The following is an 18,960-nucleotide window of genomic DNA, read 5'->3' as shown; positions in this document are numbered from 1 at the left end:
TTATGATCCCAGTCTTAAAAAATCTTACCTGTCAGCTGGACGTGGTGGTTCACGCCTATAATCCCAGCACTTTGGGAGGCCAAGTTAGGAGGATCTCTTGTGCTCAGTAGTTCAAGACCAGCTTGGGCAACAGGGTGAAACCCCGTCTCTACAAAAAATACAAAACAATTAGCCAGGCATGGTGGCACGCATCTGTAGTCCCAGCTACTTGGGAGGCTGAGGCGGGAAAATGGCTTGAGCCCAGGAGGTGGAGGTTGCAGTGAGCCAAGATCATACCACTGCCCCCCAGCCTGGATAACAAAGCCAGACCCTGTCTCAAGAAAACAAAAAACTTGCCTGTCCATCCATTCATTCATCTTATATAGATAGATTGAGGCTGTGTGGAGAGAATTCTATGATGATGTTCATGAAATATAAAACCCCACAGATGGGGGAGATTTATTGCTTTTTTTCTGTATACTTTCTAAGTGGCTTGGATTTTTTCTGTTGAGCATGTTTATAAAACAAGTACTTAAAATTTTTTTTTAATTTAATGAAGTAGTGTGACATTTCTTGCACCTTTGAGTTTGTGAGCAAATATTCATAAATTTATATTTGGATGTATGAGTTTGTTGTGAGAAAAAGACCACAAATTCACGTATGAAAACCCAAAAACCCAATGTGGTTATTGATGAGGGGTAGGATAATAGATTGTTTGTTTGTTTGTTTGTTTATCTTTTCAGAGATAAGAGTCTTGCTCTGTCATCCAGGCTGGAGTGCAGTGGCATGATCACTGCTCACTGCAGCCTCAAACTCCTGGGCTCAAGTCAACCTCCCACCTCAGCCTCCCAAGTAGCTGAGACCAGAGGTGCTCGCCACCATACCTGACTTATTTATTTATTTACTTATTTATTTATTGTAGAGACAGGATTTCATTGTGTTGCCCAGGCTGGTCTTGATCTCCTGGCTTCAAGTAATCCCTTCCACTTCAGCATCCCGAAGTGCTGGAATTACAGGTGTGAGCCACCATGTCTGGCCCCTGGATTTTTTTTTAAGTGCATTTTATCATATTCTTTTTCCTCTTCCCCCTCCTCTTCCACTCCCCCTCCTCCTTTTCCTTCTATTTCATTTTCTAATCATGTCATTCCCTTGCTCACTGCTTTCAGTACCAGACACTAGGGAAATAAAAATTCCTTAAATTGTATGACTTATTAAAAGGTCCCAGCCCCTGTGGGAGGTCCACAGTTCCCCAAGCAAACGGGAAAAACAGGTTCACAAACTAGGTACCTTATATTCACATTATTTAAAGCTTACAGTAACCCATTTTACTGGTGGCAGGATTAAGAGCCTTAACCTAGGAATGGAGGAGCCCAGGTTCGAACCCACATGTGGGGCGCTGGGAGTGTGGTTCCTCCCAGGGCTGCCGGGTTTCTTAGCCGCATCTCAAGGCAGCCCCCAGCGGGCCGCGCCCCATCCTATGGCCGCCTCTGCCCTCTTGCGGCGGCTTCTGGAACTACAGGTCGCCTTCCGGTCCCGGAAGTGAATGAGGGGTCCCCCGGGGGCTGTGCTAAGGACGGCCTGTGGCAGGGCCACTCCACACCCCTCAGCGTCCGGGCCACACAGACACAGAACGCAAGAGAGAGACTGACCCACCCACGCACCGGTCCCCATAGACGCAGAGACCGAGGCAGAAATGACGGGATTGCCGCAGACCGGCCAGGAGCAGGGACAGACAGCGGCTCCGCAGACTCTGGTGGGACTGGGCTGAGGCCACTCTCGTGTTCTCACCACACCCTCTCTCAACTATAACTACCTAATAAAACTTAAAATTGTTCTATAAAGAGATGGGGGGGGGGGCGTGTTTGTTTGTTTGTTTGTTGAGATAGGGTCTTGCTCTGTCCCCAGGCTGGAGTGCAGTGCCGCAATCTCGGCTCATTGCAACCTCCCCCTCCTGGGCTCAAGCAATCCTCCCACCTCAGCCTCCCAAGTAGCTGGGACTACAGGCTTGTGCCACCACTCCCAGCTAATTGATGTATTTTTTGCAGAGACGAGGTCTTGCTATGTTGCGGAGGCTGGTCTTAAACTTTTGGGCTCAAGCCATCCTCCTGCCTCAGCCTCCCAAAATTCCTGGGATTACAGGCGTGAGCCACCACACCTGGTCAATACATGTACTCAAAGGGGGACTTTATCTATTGCTACTCTTAAATGGAAAATTTGTGTCACTTTCATAGGCAATAACAATGAAAGTGAATAGGATAAAAACAAAACAATGTTATTAAATGGTGTTGGATGCTTCCCCACAGAGGCTGTGTAGGATGAGTGCTCTGTTCAAAAACGAGTTTTAGCAAAGTGTGAGGACAGTTTTGCAAACATGTTTCATATTCCAACTCAGTAGACACAATTTTTCACAAAGTAACATTCTTCCTTTTCTGATATTTTCTATCGTATGTTATTCCATCTATTTCGTTTTATTTTTTAAAGCACTCAAAGGTGGGTAGAGGCAAGAAGTATAAAAACAGGTGGGGGTCGAGGCTGAGTGGCGGTAGTGAGGGCTCATACCTTCCACTTTTGTGCATGTTCAGATTTAATTTGCAAATTAAAAAGAAGTCGTGTATTTTGTTTTTTTTTTTTTTTTTTTTTTTTTTGAGACGGAGTTTCGCTCTGTCGCTCAGGCTGGAGTGCAGTGGCGCGATCTTGGGTCACTGCAAGCTCCGCCTCCCGGGTTCACGCCATTCTCCTGCCTCAGCCTCCCGAATAGCTGGGACTACAGGCGCCCACGACCACGCCCCACTAATTTTTTGTGTTTTTAGTAGCGACGGGGTTTCACCGTGTTAGCCAGGATGGTCTTGATCTCCTGACCTCGTGATCCGCCCGCCTCGGCCTCCCAAAGTGCTGGGATTACAGGCGTGAGCCACCGCACCCGGCCTTAAAAAGAAGTTTTAAAAAAACTAATTTGGATTCAGTATACTAACTTTATAGCTCACTAAGCAGTCACACCCCATAATTGGAAAAACTGTGTGCAAAATACGTAAAGCCCTAACACTGTGCAGAGATTTTACCTGGGCATAATCAGCAGACTGAAAGTGAATGAAGAAGGAAATTGCCTTCCCACTGTAGTTGATTGTCTACTGAGGCGGCCACCAAGAACTTCTCCCTGCCCTGTGCCCTCCGCCACCCCCACATCCAAAGGTGAAGCCTATTTCCCCTCCCCTTGCATCTGGCCTGGCCTTGTGGCTGTTTTCACCCCTAGAATGCACCCCCACTAGAATGCACCAGAAGCGATGTTCTGGGACTTCCAAGTTAAGACCTCAAGAGGACTAGCAGCTTCTGATTGTTATCATTTGGGATGCTCCTTCTGGAAATGAGCCACCACGTTGTGAGGAAGCCCAAGAAGCAACACAGAAAGACCCATGCGGAGAACTGAGGCCCTGGGCTAACAGCTCCAGCTAAGCTTCTAGCTGGCAGCCAGCAGCAACTGCCAGCCACATACTTCCTATCCATGCCTATGGCATCACATCACGAAAACACAGGATGACCGGGCGCAGTGGCTCACGCCTGTAATCCCAGCACTTTGGGAGGCCGAGGTGGGCGGATCACGAGGTCAGGAGATCGAGACCATCCTGGCTAACACGGTGAAACCCCATCTCTACTAAAAATACAAAAAATTAGCCGGGCGTGGTGGCGGGCGCCTGTAGTCCCAGCTACTCGGGAGGCTGAAGCAGAAAAATGGTGTGAACCCGGGAGGTAGAGCTTTCAGTGAACTGAGATCGCGCCACTGCACTCCAGCCTGGGCGACACAGCGAGACTCTGTCTCAAAACAAACAAAGAAACAAAAACAGGATTCCCAGTTAAAATTGAGTTTTGAAAAAATAGTGAAAAATTATTATCACTATTATTTTTATTTTTATTTTTTTGAGACGGAGTCTGGCTCTGTCACCCTGGCTGGAGTGCAGTGGCACGATCTTGGCTCACTGCTACCTCCGCCTCCCGGGCTCAAGCAAGTCTCCTGCCTGAGCCTCCCAAGTAGCTGGGACTACAGGCAAGCGCCACCACTCCTGGCTAATTTTTATACTTTTAGTAGAGACGGGGTTTCACCATATTGGCCAGGCTGGTCTCGAACCCCTGACCTTGTGATCTGCCCATCTCAGCCTCCCAAAGTGCTAGGATAACAGGCGTGAGCCACTGTGCCTGGCCTGACAAATTATTTAGTGTAAGTATGCCCCAAATAACGTGGGACATTCTCATACCAAAAAAAAAAAAAAAAAATTCATTCATTGTTTTCTAATTTAACTGGGAGTCCTGTATTTTTATTTGATATATTCAACAACCCTGCGGACTTTCTCTGGCTTCAAGAGAATGCTCAGCCCGGGCGAAGGGCAAAAGAACAGTGAGGACAAGTGCCACCCTCTCCAGCCCTTGTTGGGACACTTCCGAGCTGTGCTCGCCCAAGAGCACTGAGCCTCTGCTGCCTGCAGCAGTGACCTGCTCCTTCTTGGCTTTCACCCCTTGATCTCACTTCTCCACATGCCTGCTGGTGCCTCCTAGGGTTACCTCCCAAAGAAACTCCCAGTACCGAAATTCTTGTCTCAGGGTCTTTTTTTTGAGACGGAGTCTCGTCCTGTCGCCCAGGCTGGAGTGTAGTGGTGCAATCTTGACTCACTGCAACCTCCACCCCCTGGGTTCAAGCAATTCTCCTGCCTCAGCCTCCCGAGTAGTTGGGACTACAGGCGTGTGCCACCACGCCTGGCTAATTTTTTGTATTTTTTAGTAGAAATAGGTTTTCACTATGTTGGCCAGGACGGTCTGGATCTCCTGACCTCATGATCCATCCGCTTCGGCCTTCCAAAGTACTGGGATTACAGGCGTGAGCCACCGCGCCCGGCCTATTTGAGAACTCAAACCAAGACAGGAAGAGCCGGGTAAACGCTAAGTTTAATGATGGCCGTTATTCCAGTTATTCACTCGCATTGCCTCTTACTGTAGAGGAAAATAAACAGGAATGTAATAATCACAGCTAACATTAATTAAGCCCCTACTGGATATGATACATGTTTCAGATGTACTAACTCACTTCTTACCAACAACCGTCTGAAATATCTTTAAGTCCATTTTCCACACAGGGAAACCAAGGCATAGAGAGCCTAAGCAACTTAACATCTCATTGCCAGCAAGCAACAGCAGCAGAATTCACACCTAGAAAGTGGGGCTTAATAAAATGTAAAATTGTTCTATAAATAGATAAAGTGTTATTAAAAAGAAAAATAGAATGAATTTTGAAACGTCAATTAATGTACTTATTTATTTATTTATTTATTTGAGATGGAGTCTTGCTTAGTCGCCCAGGCTGGAGTGCAGCGGTGCAATCTCGGCTCACTGCAAGCTCCGCCTCCCAGGTTCACGCCATTCTCCTGCCTCAGCCTCCCGAGTAGCTGGGACTACAGGCGCCCGCCACCATGCCCAGCTAATTTTTTTGTATTTTTAGTAGAGATGGGATTTCACTGTGTTAGCCAGGATGGTCTCGATCTCCTGACCTTGTGATCCGCCCGCCTTGGCCTCCCAAAGTGCTGGGATTATAGGCGTGAGCCACCGCACCTGGCCTATTCATTTTATTTTTAAGACAGGGTGTCACTCTGTTACCCAGGCTGGAGTGCAGTGGTACAATCATGGCTCACTTCAACCTCGAACTCCTGGGCTCAAGTGATCCTCTCACCTCAGCCTCCTGAGTAGCAGGTGGACACCACTCAGGGCCCATGTGTTCACATATTAGGCCACAGTGCCTCTCCAACCCCCAGAATGAAATCCAAGCCCCTTGGCCTGGTCCTCAAGTCTTTCTCTGACCTGGTCATCCCTGCCACCTGCCCTCTCTTCTCCAGCTACCTTGAATCACTTGAAGAATCTCCATGCCTCACAGCTTTCATTGCTGTTACTTCTGCCTTGAACACCCTTCCTCCTTGTCATTCCCACTTTTCAAGTCTCACATCAGCATGCACTGCCTCCTCCAGGAAGCCTCTCAGCACTCACCCCAGAGTCCGTCAGGCTCCTCCAGGTTCCTATGGCCTCCCAGCTGTCCCCTATTTGATCACAAGTGCTGGCTCTGGAAGAGTTGATAGAGGAGCAGGCGGCTGAGTGAGAGGCACCATGAGGAGTGGGCGGCTGAGTGAGAGGCACCGTCCTGCCCCATGGTTAGCGCAAAAATCGATAAACCAGCACCCAATGGGCACCTACTGTGTGCAAGGCACTGTTCTCAGTGCTGGGGCTACCCATGGAAGTAGACAGACAAAAATCCCCGCACTTACAGGCCGACTTTCTCCTGGGCAGGCAGACGATAAACACAGTAAGTAGGATGGAGAGCTGGGAGGTGGCCCAAGGAGAGCACATGAGGGAGGATGCTGGGCGTTCGTGCCATTTGCATGGCTATGACAGCGTGCTGCGGGGGCATCGATGTTCCCACCTCCCCATGAGGCCTCCCCTCGCATCCTCGGATACACACTGGCCCCTCCAGCTCCACTTCCCTTTTTTTTTTTTTTTTTTTTTTTTTTGAGATGAAGTCTTGCTCTGTCGCCCAGGCTGGAGTGCAGTGGCCCGATCTCGACTCACTGCAACCTCTGCCTCTCAGGTTCAAGCGATTCTCCTGCCTCAGCCTTCCAAGTAGCTGGGACTACAGGCGCCCACCACCATGCCCGGCTAATTTCTGTATTTTTAGTAGAGACAGGGTTTCACCGTGTTGGCCTGGCTGGTCTCCAACTCCTGACCTCAGGTGATCTGCCCGCCTCAGCCTCCCAAAGTGCTGGGATGACAGACGTGAGCCACCACGCCCGGCTTTTTTTTTTTTTTAGACTGAGTTTTGCTCTTGTTGCCCAGGCTGGAGTGCAATGGTGTGATCTCAGCTCACTGCAACCTCTGCCTCCCAGGTGCAAGTGACTCTCCTGCCTCAGCCTCCCGAGTAGCTGGGATTGCAGACATGCCCCACCATACCTGACTCATTTTTTATTTTTGGTAGAGACGGGGTTTCTCAGTGTTGGTCAGGCTGGTCTCAAACTCCTGACCTCAGGTGATCCGCCCGCCTCGACCTCCCAAAGTGCTGGGATTACAGGCGTGAGCCACCGCGCCCGGTCCGGCTTCACTTCTTTAAGCACTCACCCTGTGCTAGATAGACAACTGACATTCCGCGTTGTGTTTATTGTTTATTGCCCGTCCCCTCTATGTCAGCTTCCTGAGGCAGTGACTTTGCTCATCGTTGTCCCTGCGGTATCGCCGGTGCCCAACTCAGTATCTAGCACACGGTAAGTACTCAGGGAAGAGTTGTGGAGGATACATTTTGCGGAAGGGGAAACTGAATCTCAAGGAAGGAAGATGATTTGCTCGAGGCCACATGAAAATTAGAAGGCAGGAGAGGGATTTGAGCAGGGTCTGTGGCTCCGAGACCGAGGCTCCTCTCCGGGTGACTCTTCCCGGGATTCTGGCCTCATTTGGACCTCCAGGGCCCCGGACCTGAGCCTGGGGCAGAGCTGGGACCCAGGCGGGCGAGGCTGAGCGGCTAGCTGAGAGTCGCCAGCAGAGGGCGCTGTCTACACGTGTCCGGGCGCAAGGAGGCACCAGTAGGGCTGAGCCTGGGGAGACAGAGAGAGCGGCGGGTTGTGGGGTGGTGGGGCAGTGGGGCGGTGGGGCGGTGGGGCGGTGGGGCGACAGGATGGGGAGGAGACTGAGGCAGCGGGTGCTGTGGGAACCTACAGGAGAACTTTACCAGCTGGATAAAGGCAGGTTTCCCAGGAGTTTATTTTTTAACTGTATGCTGAAAAATAAATGGGAGGTGGCGTTTGAGAAAGCGAAGTGTGTTCCAGGTGGAGAGAACAGCATGTGTGAAGGCCCAGAGCCGGCCCCCGGATCTTTTCAGAATGCATCTTGGTCAGGGGAGGATGGTCGGCCAGGACACATGCATGGCCCCCTGGAGTCGTGCAGCGCTGGCCTTGGTGAGGCACAGATTGAGGCGTAAAGGAGGTGCTCCTGCCGAAATTTAATTATGCCCAGGCATGGTATCCCAGCATTTTGGGAGGCCAAGGTGAGAGGATTGCTTGAGGCCAGGAAGTTCGAGACCAGCCTGGGCAACATAGTGAGATGCGATCTCTACAAAAATTTAAAAAATTAGCCAGGTGTGGTGGCATACACTTGTAGTCCCAGCTACTCTGGAGGCTAAGGTGGAAGGATCACTTGAGCACAAGAAGTGGAGGCTGCAGTGAGCTGAAGGGGCCACTGCACTCCAGCCTGGGTGACAGAACAAGACCCTGTCTAAAAAACAAACAAAGAAGTAAATGCCCTAGTCTCAGGTATTCTGTTAGAGCAACACCAAACACACTAAGACAGGGAGGAAGGGGCTGGGTGGGCTCCCACAGTCCTGTCCAGCCACTGGGCCCGTGCAGCACAGCACTTCCCGGGTGCATCAGCATTGAGCCTTTCCTGAGTGCTGCTGCCATCTGTCCTCCAGTTATGAAGGGAACAAGAGACCCAGAAGGGGTGGGGCTGGCCCATGGTCTCCCTTGCTCACAGCCCTGGGCTGGAGCCCTTGTACAGAGCTGCCTCCTGGTCAGCCAAGAAAGGCTCACTGGAGGAGGAGGGGTAGGTCAGGCCTCTTCCTGGCCTCAGAACAGGATATGGGTGGGGGATGTTGGTGTCTCCTACACTGGGGCCTGCCCACCTTCTTCCCCCAATGTTCCTCCATCCTGCTCTGAGCGTTGTGCAGAGGACCCTGGACTGTGGGGTTCATCCTTTCCTAGGGAGCTTCCAAGGGCCCACACAGCCTGCTCCCCGCACCCCATGGAGGCGCAATGATAGCAGAATTACTGGCACTGTTAACCTGCTGGAGTGGGAACCTGGAGTCCTGGAAGGTCAGAGGTCAAGCTGGGGGGCTGGGGGCACTGCCTGCACTGGCCACTGCAGTGCAGAGAAGCTGAGGTGACCTCAATCTGAGAGACTGGAGACCAGGGTTGGGTGAGGGTGCATGGGAAACGGGTGGATGGGGACTGGGTGAATGGGTACTGAGTGGATGGGGACTGGGTGGATGGGGAGTGGGTGGATGGATAGTGGGTGGATGGGGACTGAGTGCATGGGGACTGGGTAGATGGATACTGGGTGGATGGGGACTGAGTGGATGGGTACTGGGTGGATGGGGACTGGGTGGGTGGGGATTGGTGGATGGGTACTGGGTGGATGGGGACTGGGTGGATGGGGACTGGGTGGGTGGGGATTGGTGGATGGGTACTGGGTGGATGGGGACTGGGTGGGTAGGGATTGGTGGATGGGGACTGGGTGGATGGGGATTGGTGGATGGGGATTGGTGGATGGGGACTGGGTGGGTGGGGACTGGGTGGATGGGGATTGGTGGATGGGGACTGGGTGGATGGGGACTGGGTGGATGGGGATTGGTGGATGGGGACTGGGTGGATGGGGACTGGGTAGATGGGGACTGGGTGGGTGGGGACTGGGTGGATGGGGATTGGTAGATGGGGACTGGGTGGATGGGGATTTGTGGATGGGGACTGGGTGGATGGGGATTGGTGGATGGGGACTGGGTGGATGGGAACTGGGTAGATGGATACTGGGTGGATTGGGACTGGTGGATGGGGACTGACTGGATGGAAGGAGGGCAGGGGGCCAGGTGGGGCCAGGCAGCCTGCCTGCTCTGCTGAGCAGCCTGGACCCAGGGGCTGCCTCTCCCAGGCCTCAGTCTCATCATCTATAGAATGGAGTTTCCAGAGATGGTCTGAGGCCCCTTCCAACTACCTGCAATGTGCTGGGTCCCAGGTCCACAGGAAGGACTGGTTCCTAGGGTCTTCCTTCCCAGCAAATTGTCCCTCCTGCTTCTGGCAGCAAAAGCTTCCCAGGATAATATTATCAATAGTAATATTGTCCCCCCTCCTCCTCTGCCTCTTCTTGTGTTTCTATATTCCAGGAACTTTCCTAAATGATTCATTTATTTATCAAATAATTTAATCCCCCACAATCCCATGAGTAAGAGACATTTACTGATCCCTTTTTATAGTTGAGGAAACAGACTCAGGGAGGGGAGGTGACTTGCCAGAGCCACACAGCTGGCAATCTGGCTCCTGTACTTCCGCATCCCTGAGGTCACTTTGGTGCCCCCGCCGCATGCCAGGGATAAAGAGACCCAAGACCTTACCGCAACTCACGGAGACCTATGTGGCTGCATGTGTCACCCCCAGGCAGAGTGACTTGAAGGGCCCAGGGAGGGGCCTCTTTTCATCCTGGGGACTGCCAAGCCCTGGAGTCCAGCTGGGCACGGGCAGTCAGCCTGGGCTGGGGGATGGTGCCTGGCTGCTAGGATGCTGGTCCTAGCATGGCAGGCATGGGTTAAAATCCCAGCTGTGCCACTTTCTGGTGTGTGATTCCAGGCACGTGACCTTTCTGCTTTGTGCCTCAGTTTCCCCTTCTGTGGAACGGGGATAATAGCAACACCTCTTTTATAAGGCAAGGTGGTTGTGAGGATTCAATGAAGCAATACACGAAAGCAGTTGCCTGCTTGGTCCCGTGGGTTCTCCATGGGATAGGGAACCCACGGAAGCCACGCCCAGCTAATTTTTTTGTATTTTTTTTAGTAGAGACAGGGTTTCACCATGTTGGCCAGGCTGGTTTCAAACTCCTGACCTTGAGTGATCCACCCACTTCAGCCTCCCAAAGTGCTAGGATTACAGGCCTGAGCCACGGCTCCTGGCTGTTTGTTTTTTGAGACAGGGTCTCACTCTGTCGCCCAGGCTTGAGGGCAGTGGTGCTGTCATAGCTCATTGCAGCCTTGATCTCCTGGGCTCAAGTGATCCTCCCACTTCAGCCTCCTGAGTAGCTGGGACTACACGTCCACACTACCATGCCTGGCTAGTTTTTTATTTTGTAGAGGGGGGATTTCACCATGTTACCATGGTCTTGAACTCCTAAGCTCAAGTGATCCACCCACCTCGGCCTCCCAAAGTGCCGGAATTATAGGCATGACCCACCATGCCCAGCCTGAATGGCCACTTTTGATGGAGCACTTACTATGTGTCGCCAAACCCCTCTGAGCCTCAGTTTCCTCCTTTGTAGGTGGGACTTGCTCAGGGACTCACTGCTGGCCTTGGGGAGCAGAGAACTCAGGTCTTTGTGATTCCGAAGTCCAGGTTCTTCCACCTGCAACTGCAGTTTCCAGAATTGGTCCCACCCCAGGAGGATCAGCCAGGTGATATGAGATCCTGCTCGGGGCTGTGAAAAGGGAATGGGAAGTCAGGGCACCCTGCCTGGTCCCACACTGATCCACCTGGGGTACCCATCTGAGAAATAGGGGTGGAGACCAGACTGGATGATGCAAATGGCATGTGGCATTGATCATTGGCCCCTCACGCTGGCCACGGCCTCTAGGTGGGCAGAGTGCACTCCCTGTCTCTTGACTCTGGGCTCAGCCATGTAACTTGCTTTGGTCAATGGGATAGCAGTGGCTATAACAAGACCAAAGGCTTGAGGTGCACTTCCACAGTGGAGCTGTCTTCTTGGCTTCTGCTGTGAGAAGATTGTCCCCCTGAATGGCTGCCGGCCCTTCAGCCTCGCCCCGCCAAGAGACACATGGAACAGCCAGAGCCCAGCCTAGAGCCTGTATCCCAGCCTAGCCTGAGGCAGAGCCACCCAGCCAAGACCAACTGACCTTCAGCTAACCTGCAGATGCATCAGGGGGAATTAAATGATTGTTCTAAACCACTGAGTTTTGGGGTGGTTTGTTATGTGGCATTATTGCAGTGATAGCTAATACAAGCCTGGTGTCAGTCTACAACTCTTGGACTCTGAGCTGCATTTACGTCCTGAATCCATCACTTACTGAGAATCAGGTCTTTATTATTATTATTAATTTTACTCCATCAATTTCAAGTTTTCCATAAGAGACATAGACAATGTAAAGGTCAAAGATTTTGGGCGACAAAACAGAGATAACTACAAAACCTCTGGCAAACAACAGTTGCTACCTTTGCACCAAGCTGAGCTCTGAGCTTCCTGACAGGCATGGCAAAGAGAGGAAGAACATGCACTACTCATATGCTGGGGAGCATTAAGGTCCTACGGGCTGCGTCCCATGGGCTGGCGACCTCCCACTGGGGCCCTCTTCACATTGCTGTGGGATCCCAGCATTTTCCCCAACTTTCCTCCTTCCAGACCCTGCTCCAGTATCACCCCAACTTGAAGCCTTCCTGGCTGTTAGAATTTCTTACAGCAGATTGCCTCTGTCACTCATTAGTTCATCCCGTATCTGCTGGCATCAACCTATGTTGTGCTTAGAAAAGACTTATAGAGGCCGGGCGTGGTGGCTCACGCCTGTAATCCCAGCACTTTGGGAGGCCGAGGTGGGTGGATCATGAAGTCAAGAGATTGAGACCATCCTGGCCAACATGGTGAAACCCTGTCTCTACTAAAAAAATGCAAAAAAATTAGCTGGGCGTGGTGGCGGGCGCCTGTAGTCCCAGCTACTTGGGAGGCTGAGGCAGGAGAATCACTTGAACCCGGGAGGCGGAGCTTGCAGTGAGCTGAGATTCTGCCACTGCACTCCAGCCTGGCGACAGAGCGAGACTCTGTCTCAGAAAAAAAAAAAAAAAAAGAAAGAAAGAAAGAAAAGAAAAGATGTATTGAGGCTGGGCGCAGTGGCTGAAGCCTGTAATCCACCAAGGTGGGCGGATTGCCTGAGCTGAGGAGTTTGAGACCAGTTTGGGCAACATGGTGAAACTCCCGTCTCTACTAAAATACAAAAGAAATTAGCCAGGCATGGTGGCATCCGCCTGCAGTCCCAGCTACTCGGGAGGCTGAGGCAGGAGAATGGCTCGAACCCAGGAGGTGGAGGTTGCAATGAGCCGAGATTGCGCCACTGCATTCCAGCCTGGGCGACAGAGCATGACTCCATCTCTAAAAAAAAAAGAAAAGAAAAGAAAGGACTTGGCTGGGCACGGTGGCTCACGCCTGTAATCCCAGCACGTCGGGAAGCCAAGGTGGGTGGATCACGAGGTCAGGAGATCGAGACCATCCTGGCTAACACAGTGAAACCCCGTCTGTATTAAAAATACAAAAAAATTAGCCAGGTGTGGTGACGGGTGCCTGTAGTCCCAGCTGCTCGGGAGGCTGAGGCAGGAGAATGGCGTGACCCCAGGAGGTGGAGCTTGCAGTGAGCCGAGATTGCACCACTGCACTCCAGCCTGGGCGACAGGGCGAGACTCTGTCTCAAAAAAAAAAAGAAAAGAAAAGAAAAGAAAAGACTTATCGAGTGAATAATGAATAAATGAATGAATGAGGAAATGAATTTACAGATGGGGAAGTGAATTAATGAAGTTAAAAGCAAGTACATGGAAGAAAGTGTTTGTTTACCTGAGTCTGATTAGGGGAAGGAGCCCTGAGTGGAGGCACTGTCGTTTGAGGTGGTCTTGCCTATACCTTTGTAAAGAATGCTTGAGAAGTTTCTTGAGGGGTTCTGGGAGCTGAGGATCACATAAGAATTCTAGCCGAGAACAATTTGTCAGCTGTCACAGTGCAGAGCATGATGGTTGAACTCAAATGCCGCCAAGCAGATGACAGGGACAGTTTCCACCTAGTTCAGGAACATAAGCTAAGGCACTTCAGGGAGGTTTTTTTGTTTGTTTGTTTTTAATTTTTTTGAGACAGGGCCTCACTCCGTCACCCAGGCTGACTGCAGTTGTGCGGTCTTGATTCACTGCAGCCTGGAACTCTTGGGCTCAAGGGATTCTCCCACCTCAGCCTCCTCAGTAGCTGGGATCACAGGCTTGCACCACTATGCCGGCTAATTTTTTAATTTTTTTCCAGAGAGGGGGTCTTGCTTTGTTGCCCAGGCTGCTCTCAAACTCCTGGCCTCAAGTGGTCCTTCCATCTCGGCCTCCTAAAGTGCTCAGATTACAGGCGTGAGCCACCGTGCCCAGCTGGGGAGTATTTTTATGTCCCCAAAATGCAGGATCTGCCTCCAGTTGATTTATCTTTAGTGAATAAGGATGAAAATGCTATCTATTTCCTGGAAAATCCTCTTGGCCTTCAACCAAAAATGGTTAAAACAGATCTTGAAGAAGAGCTAGTTGAGTGGGGCAAAATGGGAGCCTATGGTCACGAAGAAGGCAGCATCCTTGGGATACAGAGATGAGAGTATTGTAGGCCTACAGAAGGACTATAGGAGCCTACGAGAAAGAAATAGCCCTAGTGAATGCGCTGACTGTTAATCTACATCTTCTACTGTTACCCAGGGTCTCACTCTGTTGTCCAGGCTGGAGTGCAGTGGCACAATCACAGCTCACTGCAGCCTCAACTTCCCGGGCTCAGGTGATCCTCCCATCTTAACCTCCCAGGTAGCTGGGACTACAGGCACACACCACCACGCCAGACTAATTTTTGTATTTTTTTGTAGAGATGGGGTCTTGCCATGTTGCACAGGCTGGTCTCGAACTCCTTGGATTACAGGTGTGAGCCACCGCGCCCAGCCTTAGTCCAGTTATTGTTTAAGCCTATACCAAATGGTATAAAATTCTTATAGAAGCCAAAGCTTTCTCTTTTAATCATTATACTGTTGAGTCACAGCTACGACTCCATGGAGTTAACATTGAGGAAAGGGGATTATAAAGCCAAGACGGGGGAGGAAACCTTAAGAATAAAGGATATTGGCCGGGCGCGGTGGCTCATGCCTGTAATCCCAGCACTTTGAGAGGCCGAGGCCGGTGGATCACCAGAGGTCAGGAGTTTGAGACCAGCCTGGCCAACACGGTGAAACCCCGTCTCTACTAAAAGTACAAAAATTAGCTGGGCGTGGGCGTCGTGGCAGGCGCCTGTAATCCCAGCTACTCTGGAGGCTGAGGCAAGAGAATCGCTTGAACCCGGGAGGTGGAGGTTGCAGTGAGCTGAGATCGTGCCATTGCACTCCAGCCTGGGGGACAAGAGAGAGATTTCGTCTCAAAAAAAAAAAAAAAAGAAAAATTAGCTGGGTGTGGTGATGCATGCCTGTAATCCCAGCTACCCAGGAGGCTGAGACAGGAGAATCACTTGAACCCAGGAGGTGGAGGTTGCAGTGAGTCAAGATAGCGTCACTGCACTCCAGCCTGGGTGACACAGCAGGACTCCATCTGAGAAAAATAAATAAATAAATAAAATAAAATAAAGGATATCCCTGAAGCAATTGAGAAGGGAGGAGGCTCAATTACAGCAATCCTGTTCAGTGGGCTGCATTTTTATACTAGGCAGCTCTTTAATATACCTGCTACCACGAAAGCTGGACAAGTGAAGGGATGTTTTGCTGGCTTGATCTAGCATGTACAGTTGGAAATGCTGAACTCACTTACGTGACAGAAGAGTTGACTTTGCCCACTGGTGTTCCCACAATAATTTGAATGCAGGAGCAGGAGGTCTGGCAGGTACTTTTTCCATGAAAAGCATGCCCGTATGATTAAAGCTGTGCTGCTGGGGTGGTTTGGCTGTGAACTCAGCACCAGATTTGAGATGGATAACCAACTGCAGTTAATCCCTGGGGTTAGTGGATTCCAAATTTCAAATCCTCCCATTTTGTTGGTCTGTTTCTTACAGTTTAGAGATCTTTAGGCAGGCAGCGATTAAAGCATTGTGGAGAAAATCTATTTTGCTGACTGGTTATCTGGAATACCTGATCTAGCACTGCTATGGCAAAAATAAAGCAGAATCTAAGAAGCCAATGGTGACCTGGAGGTGACCATTACTCCATCCCATATGGAGGATCAGGGCTGCCAGCTGACACTAACATTTTTCTGTTCCAAAGAAAGATGTTTTCCAAGAGGTAGAAAAAAGAGGAGTGGTTTATGACAAGTGGAATCCAAATGTCATTCAAGTGGCTCCAGTTCCTTTCTATCATTCTTTCCATGATGTTTATAAATTTATCAATCTGGGCTGGGTGTGGTGGCTCACACCTGTAATCTCACCACTTTGGGAGGCCGAAGCCAGAGGATCACTTGAGCCTAGGAGTTTGAGAACAGCATGGACAACATAGTGAGACCCTGTTTCTACAAAAAAACAAACAAAAAAAAGTATTTTTAATTAGCCAGGCATGGTGGCACACACCTATAGTCCCTGCTACCCAGAAGGCTGAGGCAGGAGGATCACTTGATCCCAGGAGATCAAGGCTGCAGTGAGCTGTGATGGCACCACTGCACTCCAGCCTGGGCAAGAGAGTGAGACCCTGTCTCCAAAAAAAAAAAAAAAAAATTTATCAGTCTGCTCACTTCTGTACTTCACTCTGCAGAAACAAAAATTAGCAGTGTTTTCTAGAACAATTTAAGCAAATTATACTGAAAGCTGATGTGTGTTTTTTTTTTTTACCATTATTCAATTTTTAGTTATTGAAAGTATTTTACAATTGATTGCATGTAGCTGGCAGTAAGTAATATACTTTACAGAAAAGAAAAATAAGTAAATGAAACAACAAGTAAGACTAAGGAGTGATGGGGGGGCTAAGGAAATTGCTTTTATTTTATACAAGTTTATTGAAAACCACCTGTACTTATCCCTGAGAGAGGATGCAGATATGGCCCCTGCTTATTAGAAGCACAGGTCTGAGGGGGGGAGGCAGATCCAGATCCAGACCCAGCCAATCATGGCTGAAGGTGATCAGTGCTGTGACAAAGGAGTCCCAGGGACTGAAGGGCCCAAGAAAGCCCCAGTCCATCCTGGAGGTCAGGGAAAGCTCCCTGGGGATGGAAAGAAATGGGTTGTATAGGAATTTGCCAGGAGAAGAGGTGGGAGAAGATGGAGCAACATGAGCAAAGGGTGAGGAATGAGAAGAACTAAGCAAATGTGCAGGAGAAATAAATGGAGCTTCTAGAAATTTAACACCTGGTAACATATTAAAAACTCAATGGAGAGTTTAAACGACAGTTTAGACAAAGCTGAATAGAGAATTCATGATCTGGAAGATGGATTTGAAGAAATTATCCAGAATTCAACCCAGAAAGAAAAATAAATGGAAAATGGGGGCAGGGGGGAAAGAAGAATTCAACCTGAGAAAGCTGAAGGAGGAGGAGGAGGAGGAGGAGGAGGAGGAGGTGGCAGCAGTAGCAAGGAGAAGGAGAAGAAGAAGGAGGAGGAGAAGGAGAAGGATGAGGAGGAGGGAGAGGAGAAGAAGAAGAAGACGAAGAAGAAGAGGAGGAGGAGGAAGAGGAGGAGGAGAAAACAAAGAAAAAAAGTGGTTAGGAGCCAGGGAGAATACAACAGGAAGAGCTAACATAGGTAGCAGTTCCAGACAGAGAAGGGAAAACGAGACAAATTCAATATTTGAAAACATGAAGTCTGACTTTTTTTCCATATCTAATAAGCACCACCAAATGCATAGATTCTAGAGATCCAATGAATCCCAAGCAAGATAGGTAGGAAGAAATTCATGTCTGGACATATTGTAGTGAAAATATAGAACACCAAAGTCAAAGAGGAGATCCTAGAAGCAACCAGAGAGAAAGCAGAGGAGATTCTTTAAGTGTTTCAGTGTTGCAACAGTGAGATATTCAAAGGCAGGGAGTATAGGGAAATGGGGCTCTAGTAGAGCCAATTATTAAGGGTGATTTTGAGCCAGAGGAGTGATACGATGAGATCTGTGTTTCAGAATCTGAGTATGGAAAGCCAGGTGCGCTGCTCAAACCTGTAATCTCAGCACTTTGGGGGGCCAAGGTGTGTGGATCGCTTGAGACCAGGAGTTTGAGACCAGCCTGGGCAACAGAGTAAGAGACGCTGTTTCTTTTTCTTTTCTTTTCTTTTTTTTTTTTTTGAGACAGAGTTTCACTCTGTCACCCAGGCTGGAGTGCAGTGGCGTGATCTCGGCTCGCTGCAACCTCCGCCTCCCGGGTTCAAACGATTCTCCTGTCTCAGCCTCCCAAGTAGCTGGGACTACAGGTGCCCACAACCAGACCTGGCTAATTTTTGTAGTTTTAGTAGAGACAGGGTTTCATATTGGCCAGGCTGGTCTCGAACTCCTGACCTTGTGATCCACCTGCCTTGGCCTCCCAAAGTGCTGGAATTACAGGTGTGAGCCACCGCGCCTGGCAAGAGACGCTGTTTCTACAAAAAAATAAACAAAAAAAATTAGCTGAGCATGGTGGCATGTACCTATAGTCCCAGCCATTTGAGAGGCTGAGGTAGGAGGATCACCTGGGCCCGGGGGCTCAAGGCTACAGTGTTCACACCACTGCACTCCAGCCTAGTGTGCAGACTGGAGTGATGGAGTGAGACTCTGTCTCAAAAAAAAAAAAAAAAAAGAAAGAAAAGAAAAGAAAGATGCGGTTCTACTCAGCGTCATCTGATTGCTACCCTGTAAAAGTGCAGCCCCAGAGTTCTGAGCTTCTGATATCCCAAAAGAAATGGAAACAGGTGGCCCCTGGATGAAGGAGGAGGTCAGGGGTGGCTGGAAGGCAGGTCCTGGGGAGTGTAGGGGCTGGAAGAAGACGGAGGGGGAAGGTGTGGTAGACACTATTATAATAGCTGACTGATCCTTGTGTACCATTCCCAATTCCCCTCTTCCCTGCTGCTTTCCACTGTGGAGGCTGGAAAAGAGAAACTACTTACCTTCTCAGCCTTTGTTGCAGCTGGGAGTGACCATGTGACACAGTTTTGGCCAATGACATCTAAGGAGTCTCATTAGATCTCATTATGTGTGTGTGGCAGGGGTGGGGGTGGGGGGTGAGGGGGGCGGGGTGCCTGGGAAATTATTGACGAAAGTGACAAACGCTTTCAATTAACCCTGAAAGTAACCATTCCTTTTCCTTTCTGTCTTAAATGCGGAGGCAGATGCAACGCCAGGAGCAGCATCAGCCACGCTGTAAACAAGGGGGAAACGCCAAGCGCATTACAGAGGACGTCAGCCCTGCCATCACTGGGCTGGGGAAACAATGCCAGCCATGGCTGGTCTCCGGGTTCACAGTGATAGGGGAAATAAACCCTTATTTGTCTAAGCCATTGTGA

General features: G+C 50.0%; 1 pseudogene, besides 2 other annotated features; it reads left to right on the top strand.

Moving 5' to 3' along the window:
- Window positions 6,406-6,905: an enhancer, noted in NCBI's record as "H3K4me1 hESC enhancer chr17:19079567-19080066 (GRCh37/hg19 assembly coordinates)". NCBI's record gives its function as "activates a minimal SCP1, AML or CMV promoter by ChIP-STARR-seq in primed H9 embryonic stem cells {active_cell/tissue: H9 hESC(primed)}" and the evidence as "EXISTENCE:reporter gene assay evidence [ECO:0000049][PMID:30033119]".
- Window positions 6,906-7,407: an enhancer, noted in NCBI's record as "H3K4me1 hESC enhancer chr17:19079065-19079566 (GRCh37/hg19 assembly coordinates)". NCBI's record gives its function as "activates a minimal SCP1, AML or CMV promoter by ChIP-STARR-seq in primed H9 embryonic stem cells {active_cell/tissue: H9 hESC(primed)}" and the evidence as "EXISTENCE:reporter gene assay evidence [ECO:0000049][PMID:30033119]".
- On the top strand, window positions 13,929-15,481 carry KYNUP1 (kynureninase pseudogene 1; annotated as a pseudogene).

Source organism: Homo sapiens, chromosome 17 (assembly GCF_000001405.40).
Source record: "Homo sapiens chromosome 17, GRCh38.p14 Primary Assembly".
Taxonomy (NCBI): Eukaryota; Metazoa; Chordata; class Mammalia; order Primates; family Hominidae; genus Homo; species Homo sapiens.
Note: the sequence above shows the minus strand (reverse complement) of the source record. Positions and strands in the feature narration are given on the sequence as shown.